The sequence below is a fragment of the Homo sapiens genome, chromosome 2 (assembly GCF_000001405.40).
Source record: "Homo sapiens chromosome 2, GRCh38.p14 Primary Assembly".
Lineage (NCBI taxonomy): Eukaryota > Metazoa > Chordata > Mammalia > Primates > Hominidae > Homo > Homo sapiens.
Window position 1 is genome coordinate 53784523 of NC_000002.12, and position 13674 is coordinate 53798196.

A 13674-nucleotide genomic window follows, 5' to 3' on the forward strand; every position below is an offset into this window, starting at 1 on the left:
GTCAGCAGGGCTATTCTCTCTCTCTGAAAGCTCTAAAGAAGGATTCTTCCTTGCCTCTTCCTAGCTTGTGGTGATTACTGGCAATCTTTAGCATTCCTTGTCTTATAGACACATACTGCAATCTTGCTGCCTCCTCCTTCCTGGCATGGCATTCTCCCTGTGTGTCCATGTGTATCCAAATTTCCCTCTTCTTATAAAGATACCAGTCACCAGATTAGGGCCCCCTTTGATTCAGTATGACCTCATCCTTACTTGAATTATATTTGCAAAGACCCTATCCCAAGTAGTTCACACTCACAGGTTCTAGGGGATAGGACTTAAACATGTCTTTTTGGGGAACACAATTCAACCCACAACACCCCCTACAATCAATTTTCCACACAGCAGCCACAATGATCTTCACAAATGTACATCGGGTCCTGTCCACTCTCCTGCCTACAGAGCTGTCTCCCTGGCCTCTTTCTGCTTCTCAAACTTCTTCTACCACTTTCCTCTTACACTCCAGCCACACTGGCCTTCTTTCTATCACTCCAACACATCAAGCTCATTCCTGCCTCAGGGCCTCTGCCTAGAAATTTGTCTGGCTCCCTTCTTTTCATCATTCAAGTCACAATTCAAATGTCACTTCCTCACAGAAGTCTCCTCTGACTTACGTACTAAAAGCAACACATCCTACAGGTATTGTCTTTCACATAACCTTAGTTTCTTTGCAGCACTTACCAATACTAGAAATTATTTTACTTATTTAAGTTCCCCTCTTACTTGAACATCAGCTCTATTGAACACAGATTCAATCACTATAGCCCTAAATGCTAAAACAGGACCTCACAGACAGTTTTCATTTTTATTCCGTCAAATACATCTCTTTTCCTTCATGACTTAAGACTAGTGCTTAGCACAGAATAAATGCTAAAAAAAAAAAAAATTGACTATTACTACTATAATAGTTTGCAATTATTTGTTTGTACAATCTCCCTGCCTAGACTGTGTGACCAAAGACAGAAACCCATTTATTTGGCATTTTACCAAGCCCAGGGGGGCCAGGCACAGTGGCTCAGGCCTGTAATCCCAGCACTTTGGAAGGCCGAGGAGGGCGGATCACCCGAGGTCAGGAGTTCGAGACCAGCCTGGCCAACGTGGTGAAACCCTGCCTCTACTAAAAATACAAAAATTAGGGTGTAGCGGCGCGCGCCTGTAATCCCAACTACTCGGAAGGCTGAGAAAAAGGAGAATCCCTTGAACTCCAGAGGCGGAGGTTGCAGTGAGCCAAGATTATGCCTCTGCACTCCAGCCTGGGTGACAGAGCGAGACTTTGTCTCAAAACAAACAACAACAACAAAAATCCCAGGAGTCTGGATCACATTAAGCATTAATAAGAAGTGCTGAATATAATTAGCGAATAACAATTCTGAAGAAAGTTATCTTCTTTGATACTATGGATTCCTGATGTTAAAAAAAAATTTTTAAGATAGAATATGGGACTGTCCTTCCTGCTTTTTGATTTGGTTCAAATCTGAGGAAGTGGGGGCGACCAGTCTTTAACAGATCTAGCAAGACTGTCGAGCTTTAGGGAATGGTAATTTCTCTAAAGCCAACACTCTATGTCCATTATATTGGAGATCAAAACAGACAATGGCATTTTTTCTAAAGAGGGGGAGGGAAAAACAAAACTTTTTGTCTAATTTGGGGATGCAGTCAGACGTGACTTAGTTCATAAACACACACATTCATCTGGCGCTAAACCTCACATAAGGAACCTTACCAGCTTCCTTGATAAAACAACACCCCAACACTTCAATCTAGAGATGGAGGGTAAAAATGTAGGGTTGTGATGTCTAGCTGCCCATTCCACGAGAGTCGCCCACCACGCCAAATTCGGAGGCTTGCGGTATTCACCTACGGGGAGATGGCGGGCTACCTCACCCCAGGTTTCCCCTAACACAGAGTTGCAGTCGCTGAACAAACTGCCCTGCGTTAGTCAGAAGCTGTTAAGTAACGAGATGGCCACGGTCCACAGCAGAAGAGATGGAGATAAGCCTCAAGCGGGAAAAATGAAGTGTACAAATGCCAAATGCGGAGAAAAAGAAGAAAAGCTGCAAGAAGGCAGGTCAGTCAGGAACACCGCCATTTCTCACATCTCATCGCTACTTCGAATTTTCTCATCTAAGGACCCGCACCCGCACGGTTCACACTGTCTTCTTCCCGCTATCACTCCGTGTGGGTCAAACCTCTGCCTGCCCACTGGAGAGCAGCGGGAATGGCTTCAGGAAGCGGCTGCCGCCTCCGAGACTCACCGACCTGCCGTGCTGCCACTTCTACACCGAAATGGCTGGTCCGAGGCCGCGTCTCCAGAGCTGCGTCCCAGAAGCCCCCGCTTTCGATCCCCACCGCGATGCTGCAGCCGTCCGAAAACGAGAGACGCGCAGGCGACGTCCCGGCCCCCGTAGGCGGACGGCTCCGCGACCCCCGGATGTTGATATGTCGTCTGCCCCGGAAACGGTGACAGGAGGCTCAAGGGGGCGGAGGCGGCGTTGCCGGGCTCTCCGGAAGGAGACGTGGCGGCGGTTGGGCCGGTGATACCCGGGCGCTTTATAGTCCCGCCGCCTCCTCCTCCACCTCCTCCTCCTCCTCCTCTCCTCCTGGAGCAGAGGAGGTTGTGGCGGTGGCTGGAGAAAGCGGCGGCGGAGGATGGAGGAAGGAGGCGGCGGCGTACGGAGTCTGGTCCCGGGCGGGCCGGTGTTACTGGTCCTCTGCGGCCTCCTGGAGGCGTCCGGCGGCGGCCGAGCCCTTCCTCAACTCAGCGATGACATCCCTTTCCGAGTCAACTGGCCCGGCACCGAGTTCTCTCTGGTCAGTGCCCTCACTAACCCCGCAGCCACCCCTCCTCCTGACACTAAGGGTTCGGCCTCTTCCCTCGGTTTTCTTTGCTTTTTCTCCCCAAGACCTTCTCTGCAGACTCTTACCTTCCCCAAGCCAAAGCTGCTTTTATGCAGCGTTCATTCATTCGTTCGTTCTCACGTTATGTGGATGCGTCCCCCTTGCTGAGCATTAGGGATCCAGCAATCACCTGCTCTCCACCTTTTCAATTCTGTCGCACTAGACCTTGCTTCCCAACATTCCCACCCTGCAGAAGCAGCTTTCGTAGAATAACGTCAGGTGCACTTACTCATCTTCCTTTCGGAAAATTAACTGTGGCTCTTACTTCACCAGCAGACTTCTTTCCTTCAGTATTACATGTCACCCTGCCCACACCACAGTACTTCAGACTCGAGTTCCCTCTCTCGTATTCGTTCTCCCTCAGTTGTATACACACACGGACATACGCAAACGCACAGCTCCAAGGGAACTTTTTCCTTTCCTAGTTGTTTCTGAGAGGGCTATTTGGCCTGTGAGATGTTAACGACCCTTTATGCAGAATATCCTTTACAGTTTTCATGTATTACGACTGTTATTTGAGTCCCCAGAACATGAGCTTCTATGTTGAGTTTTCCTGTAGTGAAGAACATTTGTAACCTCGCGGAAATGAAAATTCCCTCTTGGGGGAGTGGACCGCTGAAAAGTCTTCCTGTCCACGTGTACCTACTGCAGGCTAATAAATATTGTACTCTTATGACACTTACCATGTAGTAATTAACTCATTTACTTCAAATTGAAGTCCCGGAAAAAGCAAAATTTTTTTAAACTTTTTATTCCAATTACCTTCAAGCATTCAACTTGCAATACTTTATTATATTCTTTCATTACCATTTCATTGAAACAGTAAGTGACACTATGATGTCAAAACAAGATGTGTCAAGTTAATGGATGTTATTACCACATAGCTTTCTATTTGCAAGTGTTAGGGGTTTTTTGGTTTGGTTTGGTTTGGTTTGGGTTTTTCTGTTTTTGTTTGTTTTTTGAGACAGGGTCTCAGTCTGTTGCCCATTCTGAAGTGCAGTGGTACGGTCACCACTGGCTGCAGCCTCGACCTCCTGGGCTCAAGAGATCTCCTCAGCTTCCCAGTAGCTGGGACTATAGGGAAATCCCACCACTCCTGGCTAATTTTTTTTTTTTTTTCTAGAGGCAGGGTCTCACTATGTTGCCTAGGCTGGTCTCGAACTCCTGGGCTCAAGCAATCCTCGTGCCTGAGCCTCCCAGAATACTGGGATTACATGTGTGAACCAAATGTTCTGAATTTATCTAGGTAAATATTTTTCTGGGACGTCAAATTTCTCTTTGTATTAATGCCACAAAATATTGATACATTGAAATACCTATGTAAAATTTTGTTATGAATCAGATATAACTTTAGCAGGCTTGGAAGAGAATACTTTAATACCTGTTGTTGTATCCAAAGAGCACACTTGGAGTGAATATGGCAGATGTTTGAAGAATTATGTCATTAAAATTTTTTACTCTTGGCACCTGTGTTTTTTTTAATTTAAAAAAACTTGCTGATATGCAGCCCTGAAAACTTACTATAAGCGAGCGACTAAAACTAGCATTTTTAGAGGTCACTACCAAATTGTCATTCCATTTTCTTTCAGTCTTAGCATTTGCTACACCAACTTTTCACGTATCTAACAATTTTATTTCAAAAAAAAAATGCTTTGGCCATGTGCGGCGGCTCACATCTGTAATCCCAGCACTTTGGGAGGCAGAGGCAGGCGGATTATGAGGTCAGGAATTCAAGACAAGCCTGACCAACGTGGTGAAACCCCATCTCTACTAAAAACACAAAAATTAGCTGGGCGTGGTGGTGCACACCAGTGCTCCCAGCTACTTGGGAGGCCGAGGCAGGAGAATCGCTTAAACCCGGGAGGTGGAGGTTGCACTGAGCCAAGATTGCACCACTGCACTCCAGCCTGGGTGACAGAGTGAGACTCTGTCTCAAAAAAAAAAAAAAAAAAAAAAATTCTTTTTTTAGAAGCTGGAGTGCAGTAGGTATTTATAGGCATGATTATGCTCACTACAGCCTCAAACTCCTGGGCTCAAGCCATCCTTCTGCCTCAGCCTCCTGAACAGCGAGGACTACAGGTGGTCACCATTGCATCTGGCTTTTTTTTCTTTAAGTCTGTGCTACTTTGAGAAAAATCTAGAGTGTTCTGTGAATTGTCACAAGGCCTATGTCCTTTATGTAAAAATAAGCCACAATAGTCATTATCATTGGTCTTTTGATTTTTTTTAATACTTCTATAACCTTAAGGCTTCCCTTTGCATTTAACTGAAATTACTGGCTGGGCACAGTGGCTGACGCCTATAATCCCAACATTTTGGGAGGCCGAGCTGGGTGGATTACTTGAGCCCAGGAGTTTGAGACTAGCCTAGGCAACATGGCGAAACCTTGTCTCTACTAAAAATAAAAAAATTAGCCGGGCATGGTGGCACATGTCTGTAGTTCCAGCTACTTGGGAGGCTGAGGCAGGAGAATCGCTTGAACCTTGGAGGCAGAAGTTGCAGTGATCCGAGATCATGCCACTGCACTCCATCCTGGGCGACAGAGGAGTCTGTCTCAAAAAAAAAAAAAAAAGAAAAGAAAAGAAACCACTACTCTCCTCACCTGGCGCTGCCATTTTTTTTAATGGGCCAGTTGGTTGGACATTTGTGTTTGTGACAGAGTCTCGCTCTGTCACCCAGGCTAGAGTACAATGGCGCCATCTCAGCTTACTGCAACTTCTGCCTCCCGGGTTCAAGCGATTCTTGTTGCCCAGCCTCCCCAGTAGCTGGGATTGTAAGCGTGCGCTACCACACCTGGCTAATTTTTTTTTGTATTTTTAGTAGAGATGAGGTTTCACCATTTTGGCCAGGCTGGTCTCAAACTCCTGAACTCAAGTGATCCGCCCACCTCGGCCTCCCAAAGTGCTGGGATTACAGGCATGAGCCACCGTGCCTGGCCGCGGGTTGGACATTTGTATCTAACTAATATGCAGCTGTATGAAATAGGATAAGGTCCTTTGTCTGTTTACTAACTGAAATTGGAAGAGACTGGATTAGAAGATCTGAATTTTTTAAGCTTTAAAATTGTCTGCTTTAAATTGTCTTCCCATTCAGATATATCAAAACAATATATAATTATTTACAATCTTGCTTTCAGATTTGCTTAGAAAAAGTATTAAGCACCAAAACTGTAAAATGGGGGTTGTTTGTGTGTTTTGGTAGAGATAGTTTCCCTATGTTGCTCATGCTGGTTTCAAACTCCTGGTCAAAACTATCCTCTGGTCTCAGCCTCTTAAAGCGCTGGGATTATAGGCATGAGCCACCTCACCTGGCCAAAAAATTTGTGTATTTTTGATGTGTACATTAACTAGAGTTAATAATTATGATATTCTTTGCTTATTGATGTTTAGCACTCAGTTTTGTTTTTGTGTTAATATTTTCCTTCTGAAGTATCACCTCTGTCGTTATGTTTAATTATTCATTACTTTATAGAGTTCAGAGATTTCACCAAATTAAACCACAAATCAGTCTAATTTTCTGTCTACTTCTGTTGTTGATGTAGAATATATTTTACTCAGATTTTCCCAAGCACTACTATTTGACCAACTCCATGGTTTATAGCATGTCATATACATTGACAGGTTCTACCAACAAGTGTATTTTATAGCCTCTACCAGAATAGAAGTTCTCTCATCCTCTAACCAACCTAATTCCTCCAGACCCACGTCAAACATTAGGAGTTCCTCTCATGCCAAGATATTTTTTAAGTTCCTTAACTTTTAAAGTACCCCAGCACCTCTGATTAGTTTCACTATATTAAAATTTGACTTTATGTCAAATCTCTAATAAAATTTGACTTTGTCAGATCTCTAATAAAATTTGACTTTGTGTCAAATCGCTAATTTCCTCTTCCACTGAAAATACCTTGTTATGTAAAGTAAGTTTTTTATACTATCTAATTCTGTACATTCAGAATTTATTATATTTTGTTTTCTTAAAGTAAAACCTGTTTTATACAATCAGAATCCTGATTTTAGTGGATCCGAATTTTTAGAAAAATTATAAAAGATAAACTTTTTCTCCGTAATTCCTGTTACCAAAAAGTAAAGTTTGCTAAAAATATATTTTGTGGTCCCAATAAGTGACTCACTATTTCAGCAGAGTTTTCAGATAGAATTGCTATTTGGCTTATTTTATTGGGAAAGCAGCCTTTCCTAAACTAATGAAAGACTATTATTTGCATCAAGAATTGTCTTCCCTTTTTTGCTGTGGTTCCAAACAAGCAGTTTCTTTTTACATTTGAAGCATTTTGGAGACCATTTTGAAAGGAATTACAAATGTTATGTCTCATAGCAAATCGTTGGCACAATTGAATAAATGTTTCTAAGAAATTCTTTATCATAAGTTTAGCTTTGCAACTGTTACTTTCAAATCTCTTTGATTCCCTCATCATCTATAATGCTCTTTTAAAAAAAAAAAAAAAAAAAAAAAAAGACGGAGCCTCGCTCTTTCGCCCAGGCTAGAGTGCAGTGGCGAGGTCTCAGCTCTCTGCAAGCTCCGCCTCCCGGGTTCACGCCATTCACCTGCCTCAGCCTCCCGAGTAGCTGGGAGTACAGGCGCCCGCCACCACGGCCGGCTAAATTTTTTTTGTATTTTTAGTAGAGACAGGGTTTCACCGTCTTAGCCAGGATAGTCTGGATCTCCTGCCCTCTATCTGATCCGCCCGTTTCGGCCTCCCAAAGTGCTGGGATTACCGGCGTGAGCCACCGCGCCAGGCCTTTTTTTTTTTTTTTTTAATAAGTTGCCCAGGCTGGGGTCAAGCAGTTCTCCCGCCTCAGCCTCCTGAGTAGCTGAGATTACAGGTGCACATCTTACTTACAGTGGCTTTTTAAACAAGTATCCTTGGCCATAATTCAAGTCTGCATAGTAATCTAGGAGAAGTTTGTGAAAGCTGATTCAAATATGTTAAAATATTTAAAAGCTCACAGAATATGGAGCCAATCTGTTTGAATTCTCTGGCCTCTGCTACTTCTAGGTTTTTTAACCTTGGACAAATGGTTGAAGCCCTGGGCGTTAGTGTCTGTTTCCGTAAAAATGAGCATCATACTTGTTTTGAGGATTAATGAGTTAATGAATGTAAAACACTTAAAACAGTACTGTCCTAGAACTAATACAGCTAGTACTTACTGCTTTGTTTTGTTTTTTTTGTCTTAGGGAAAATGCTGTAATTTGCTTTTGTGTTTAGGATTACAGTGGTGCCAAGTAGTACTGGTTTTATTATAGTTAAACAGTTGTTAGGCCAGGGCAGTGGCTCACGCCTGTAATCCCAACACTTTGGGAGACAGAGGCTGACGGATGGCTTGAGCCTAGGAGTTTGAGACCCACCTGGGCAAGAGGATAAAACCCCTTCTCTACAGAAAAATTACCGGGGCATGGTGGCATGTACCTGTAGTCCCAGCTACTAGGGAGGCTAAGGCGGGAGGATCACCTGAGTCCAGGAGGTCAGGCTGCAGTGAGCTGTGATCATGTCACTGCACTCAGCCTGGGTTAGTGAAAGACCCTGTCTCAAAAAAAAAAAAAAAGTTATTGTTAAATTGAGAATAGAACAAAGGTCCTTAATAAGAAGAGGTTCTCCTTGCCAGGAATAGCCAAATAGTACCATAGTTGCACAGTACCATAAGAGGAAAGTGAAGAGAGAATTGAATTATCTTAGAACATGTGTCATAAAACACAAAAATCTCTGCCTTAGTAAAATGAGTATCACATTTGCTATCAGGAAGCAGAGATTTGTTTTTACTAAAATAATATCTGTTGTATTAATTGAAGTGTTTATTTGAATTCTGTTGACTCATATTAACCAATGTGAATTTGTTTGGTTTCATAGTGTAGAAAGCTTTAAGGATAATTTTGTCAATATATGCCAGAAGTCAGCAAACTACAGCCATTGCGCTGTCCCACCACATATTTTTATAAATAAGGTTCTATTAGTACATCATCATCCGTATTTGTTTACATATTGTGTACTTTTGTTGCTACAGTGGCAGAGGCGCAACAGAGACCATATGGCTCACAAAGCCTAAATATTTACTCTCTGGCCCTTTACAAAAGTTTAATAAGTGCTCAGTGATGGTGTATCTATGAACATTCATTGCCACCTCTTAGTGCCTTTTTTTCTTTTTTTCTTTTTTTTTTGTAACAGGGTCTTGCTATGTTGCTCAGGCTGATCTTGAACTCCTGGGCTAAAGTAGTCCTCCCACCTCAACCTCCCAAGTATAATCACTATTTTAACTTCAATCTGTTGCATTCCTCCTTTTTTCTTTATACTCCAAACATTATTTTGTTCATTTATTTTCCTATTATGACACAGGATAAAGTTTATCTTCATTTTGTAATTAATAAATATGTTGATAAAACCACCAAAAAGAATGAAAGCATGTCCTTTGCAACCACATGGATGCAGCTTGGAGGTCATTATCTTAAGTGAATTAAGACAGAAACTGAAAACCAAATACCGTATGTTTTCATTTATAAGTGGAGGCTAAGTGTTGAATACACACTCAAAGACGAGAACAATAAACACTGGAGATTCCAAAAGACAGGAGAGAGGGAGGGGTGACAAACTACCTATGAAGTATTAGGATACTATGTTCAATACTTGGGTGACAGGGATATTAGAAGCTCAGACTTCATCATCATGCAATATATCCATGTAACAAACCTGCACATGTACCCCCCGAATCTAAAATTTTTGTTAATGTTTGTAGCATATTTTCCCTCCCTTTAAAATAATCATCTGTTGAAATGTTAAATTAGTTTAAAGAATCTTTTTTCCAGCTAAGACTAAAGTTATTCAGTGTGATACAATTTCACGGAGAACATAATGTATGTTTTTTCTTCTATTTGCAGCCCACAACTGGAGTTTTATATAAAGAAGATAATTATGTCATCATGACAACTGCACATAAAGAAAAATATAAATGCATACTTCCCCTTGTGACAAGTGGGGATGAGGTAAGTTTTTATAAATATATTGATAATCCTGTCACCAAAAATATTTATGTAAAACATTGTAACTACATACTTTGAAGTAAAATTGAATAACAGATTTCTCAATAACGCTCTTTTAGCATAAAAATAGTAATCACTTTTAATATCCCTGAATTCTTTGATTTTGCAGTTTATCTTGGGAAAAATTAGCAATCAATTTTTTTTTATTTTATTTATTTATTTATTTTGAGACGAAGTCTCACTCTATCGCCAGGCTGGAGGGCAGTGGCACGATCTTGGCTCACTGCAACCTCCGACTCCCGGGTTCAAGAAATTCTCCTGTCTCAGCCTCCCAAGTAGCTGGGATTACAGGCACACACCACCACACCCAGCTAATTTTTGTATTTTTAGTAGAGACGGGGTTTTACCATGTTGGCCAGGATGGTCTCGATTTCTTGACCTCATGATCTGCCCACCTCGGCCTCCCAAAGTGCTGGGATTACAGGCATGAGACACCATGCCCGGCCGCAACCAATTATTAACGTTTTGAATGAAAATCTAACTCCACACTTGCTTTCTTTATAGAAATTAGGGTTTTAAAACAAGATAACAATTTTTAAATGTATATGTGACTTTTTAAATAAATGATTGTTTATAAATAAGTCTGTAGGTACCCCATGCTTTCTCATTATCTTAGCCCATGCCCTTTTCTTCCTCCTAAAATGCCCTAATTGCCTCTTATCCATCCTTCAAGGCAATGACTTCTTTCAAGATGAAACAGGAGAGGCAGCATGGTAAAATGGGAAGGACACCGGCCTAGGAGCCAGGAGGCTGAGGTATAGGCTATAGCTAGCTGTGGAACCTTGAACAAATTTGAAACTGACTTCCTCCACTCAATAAATTTATTAAGCCAATTCAGTAATATTTTCATGATCTGGAAAATAGAAATATTAAACTCAGTGCTTTATTGGGTTTTGTTCAGATTTGAAATCAAAGACCACTGTTTTAAGTCTCCTTGAGACACACACACACACGCACACGGCATTCAAATCTGAAATGTAAAAATACATAAAAAACTGAAAAGTGCCTTAAAACTTTCCAATATATCCTATAAGATTCAACTATTCTAAGGGCTTTCATAGCTAAGAATTTGTTTGGGTACAAGCATTTAAAAATTCTGAAATAGGTTTATAAGAATTGTTCAGGAAACTGATACTTAAAAACCTTTTTTCCCTCCATTCTTGCCTTGTGAAAAGCAAAAATACATTTTAAAAAAACCTTTTTTTAAGAAAGCATGAACTCTGTGAAGATTATTTTACGGCTCCATATTTTATACTTCAGTTATTTGAAAGCAATGGCGTACCGTAGGGTCTTGTTAAACATTTTGACTTTTTTTTCTCTTTTATTTCTAAGCATTTGTGATTTGAGTAATGAGTTAATATCCAAACAGCAAAGTTGGGTGAAATTCTAGAAAAACTGTAAGTATTAAACTCCAATTCTTTCTTAGGAAGAAGAAAAGGATTATAAAGGCCCTAATCCAAGAGAGCTTTTGGAGCCACTATTTAAACAAAGCAGTTGTTCCTACAGAGTATGTATTTTATGTTTACTTGATGACTAGAAAATAGATTACCAACAGCCAACAGACCTTTGAAAATACCGTTTCTTCTTTATTATGTTGTGTCAGGTTTTTTTTTTTAACTATTATTTTAGGTTTAGGGTTACCTGTGCAGGATTGTTATATAGGTAAACTGCATGTCACCGGGGTTTGGTGTACAGATTATTTAGTCACCTAGATAATGAATATAGTACCTGATGGGTTGGTTTTTTTTTTTTTTTTTCTTTTAATCCTCTCCCTCCTCCCATTCTTTACCTTCAAGAAGGCCCTAAGTCTGTTATTCCCCTCTTTGTGTCCATGTGTTCTCATTTTTTAGCTCCCATTTATATAAATGAGAACATACAGTATTTGGTTCTCTGTTCCTATTGTATCAGATGTTAAGTTAGGTATAAATATAAATTATTTCTTTTTTTTTCTTTCTTTGCTTTTTTCTTTTTGAGAAAAGGTCTCATTCTGTCACCCAGGCTAGAGTATAGTGGCATGATCACGATTCACTGCAGCCCCAACGTCCCATGCTCAAGCTGTTCTCCCACCTCAGACTCCCCAGTAGCTGAGCACCACCATGCCCTGCTAATTTTTGTATTTTTTATAAAAATGAGGTTTTTCACAGTGTTGCCCAGACTAGTCTCAGACTCCTGAACTCAAGCCATCCACCCGCCTCAGCCTTTTAAAGTGCTAGAATTACAGGCGTGAGCGACTGTGCCCAGCTAGTTATTTCTTAATAATATCTTATTCATTTAAATTCCTGTCTAGTGTATGCAGCAGATACCCAATAATACCAATAACAAATCATATCACTTACCAAGCTGTTTTGAATGTTTTTCAGTTCAAAATAAAGTTTTCTTTTTCTTTTTTTTTTTTTTTTTTTTGAGACAGAGTTTCACTCCGTCACCCAGGCTGGAGTGCAGTGGCACGATCTCAGCTCACTGCAACCTCCGCCTGCCAGGTTCAAGCGCTTCTTCTGCCTCAGCCTCCCAAGTAGCTAGGGTTACACACACGCGCTACCACATCCCGCTAATTTTTTTGTATTTTTTAGTAGAGATGGGGTTTTGCCATGTTGGCCAAGCTGGTCTCGAACTCCTGGTCTCAAGTGATCTGCCCACCTTGGCCTCCCAAAGTGCTGGGATTACAGGCGTAAGCCAGTACACCCGGCCGAGTATATAATAGAATTTTAATTTAAATTGCTAATTGTTATTTTTTAAGCTATGTAGAAAATTGTCCCTAAGCCAGGTAATTATTACAGACCCCAAGTGTATTCTAGACCTATTTCCTTCACAGAATTCTCACATAGAGCTAGTGAAAATAATGAATAGACTTCAGAAATTTCACATTTTTTTGAGGCATAATTATAAGTGTCATTTAATGAAAGCTTACTCTGAAATCTTAGGGGAAGTCTCAGCTGCTTCAAATATCAGAAAGTAATTCAGCTGAGTTATGTGGCTTTTGTGCATTGAAATATATCCATCTTTTTTAGATTGAGTCTTATTGGACTTACGAAGTATGTCATGGAAAACACATTCGGCAGTACCATGAAGAGAAAGAAACTGGTCAGGTGTGTTTTTCTTCAAAATATTATTATGAAACATTATAAGATGAGAACTTTAATAATGAGATTGATAGTTTTAAAGTTGTATCCTTAAAAATGTCTTTGCAAAATACTTAGTATATTTTTATTTTACTTTTCAATGTAGAAAATAAATATTCACGAGTACTACCTTGGGAATATGTTGGCCAAGAACCTTCTATTTGAAAAAGGTTGGTGTCTACCCAGTGATTTGACAGTAATGCTGGAATTTGGTTTAAAATATATGTTCAAAATGGAATTTACGAGATTTTTTTTTTGGACATTGTGTGAATTTTAAAATACTGAAATAGGCTGGGCGCGGTGGCTGACGCGTGTAATCCCAGCACTTTGGGAGGCCAAGGCAGGAGGATCACAAGGTCGGGAGATTGAGACCATCCTGGCTAACACGGTGAAACCCCGTCTCTATTAAAAATACAAAAATTAGCCGGGCGTGGTGGCAGACGCCTGTAGTCCCAGCTACTTGGGAGGCTGAGGCAGGAGCATGGCATGAACACAGGAGGCGGAGCTTGCAGTGAGCCGAGATGGCACCACTGCACTCCAGCCTGGGCAACAGAGTGAGACTCCATTTCAA

General features: G+C 41.0%; 3 protein-coding genes across 7 annotated transcripts in view, besides 3 other annotated features; 1 reads left to right on the forward strand and 2 right to left on the reverse strand.

Annotated features, from left to right (window-relative positions):
* Positions 1-2431, reverse strand: part of ASB3 (ankyrin repeat and SOCS box containing 3) — a 116974-nt gene extending 114543 nt beyond the window's left edge. For 2 of the 3 annotated variants that reach the window (NM_145863.3, NM_016115.5), the window contains exon 1: positions 2299-2431. The gene's annotated coding sequence lies outside the window, so the exon portion shown is untranslated. Of the gene's footprint in view, positions 1-1762 lie in introns of all 3 variants that reach the window. The other variant, NM_001201965.2, reaches the window with a different exon arrangement.
* GPR75-ASB3 (GPR75-ASB3 readthrough) overlaps positions 1-13674 on the reverse strand; it is a 189675-nt gene that overhangs the window by 114230 nt on the left and 61771 nt on the right. The gene's annotated exons all lie outside the window — the stretch shown is intronic.
* Positions 1921-2579: an enhancer, noted in NCBI's record as "NANOG-H3K27ac-H3K4me1 hESC enhancer chr2:54013580-54014238 (GRCh37/hg19 assembly coordinates)". NCBI's record gives its function as "activates a minimal SCP1, AML or CMV promoter by ChIP-STARR-seq in primed H9 embryonic stem cells {active_cell/tissue: H9 hESC(primed)}" and the evidence as "EXISTENCE:reporter gene assay evidence [ECO:0000049][PMID:30033119]".
* Positions 2095-2514: an enhancer, noted in NCBI's record as "active region_15755". NCBI's record gives its function as "activates an Ori minimal core promoter by ATAC-STARR-seq in GM12878 lymphoblastoid cells {active_cell/tissue: GM12878}" and the evidence as "EXISTENCE:reporter gene assay evidence [ECO:0000049][PMID:35858748]".
* Positions 2522-13674, forward strand: part of ERLEC1 (endoplasmic reticulum lectin 1) — a 31753-nt gene continuing 20600 nt past the window's right edge. For all 3 annotated transcript variants that reach the window (NM_015701.5, NM_001127397.3, NM_001127398.3), the window contains exons 1-5: positions 2522-2850; positions 9823-9927; positions 11411-11491; positions 12993-13070; positions 13210-13273. In NM_015701.5, the coding sequence (NP_056516.2) occupies positions 2689-2850; positions 9823-9927; positions 11411-11491; positions 12993-13070; positions 13210-13273 (490 nt within the window). In that variant the 5' untranslated portion in view covers positions 2522-2688. The remainder of the gene's footprint in view (positions 2851-9822; positions 9928-11410; positions 11492-12992; positions 13071-13209; positions 13274-13674) is intronic.
* Positions 7649-7863: a silencer, noted in NCBI's record as "fragment chr2:54019308-54019522 (GRCh37/hg19 assembly coordinates)". NCBI's record gives its function as "represses an EF-1alpha promoter that drives an FKBP-Casp9 reporter gene in an ReSE screen in K562 erythroleukemia cells {active_cell/tissue: K562}" and the evidence as "EXISTENCE:reporter gene assay evidence [ECO:0000049][PMID:32094911]".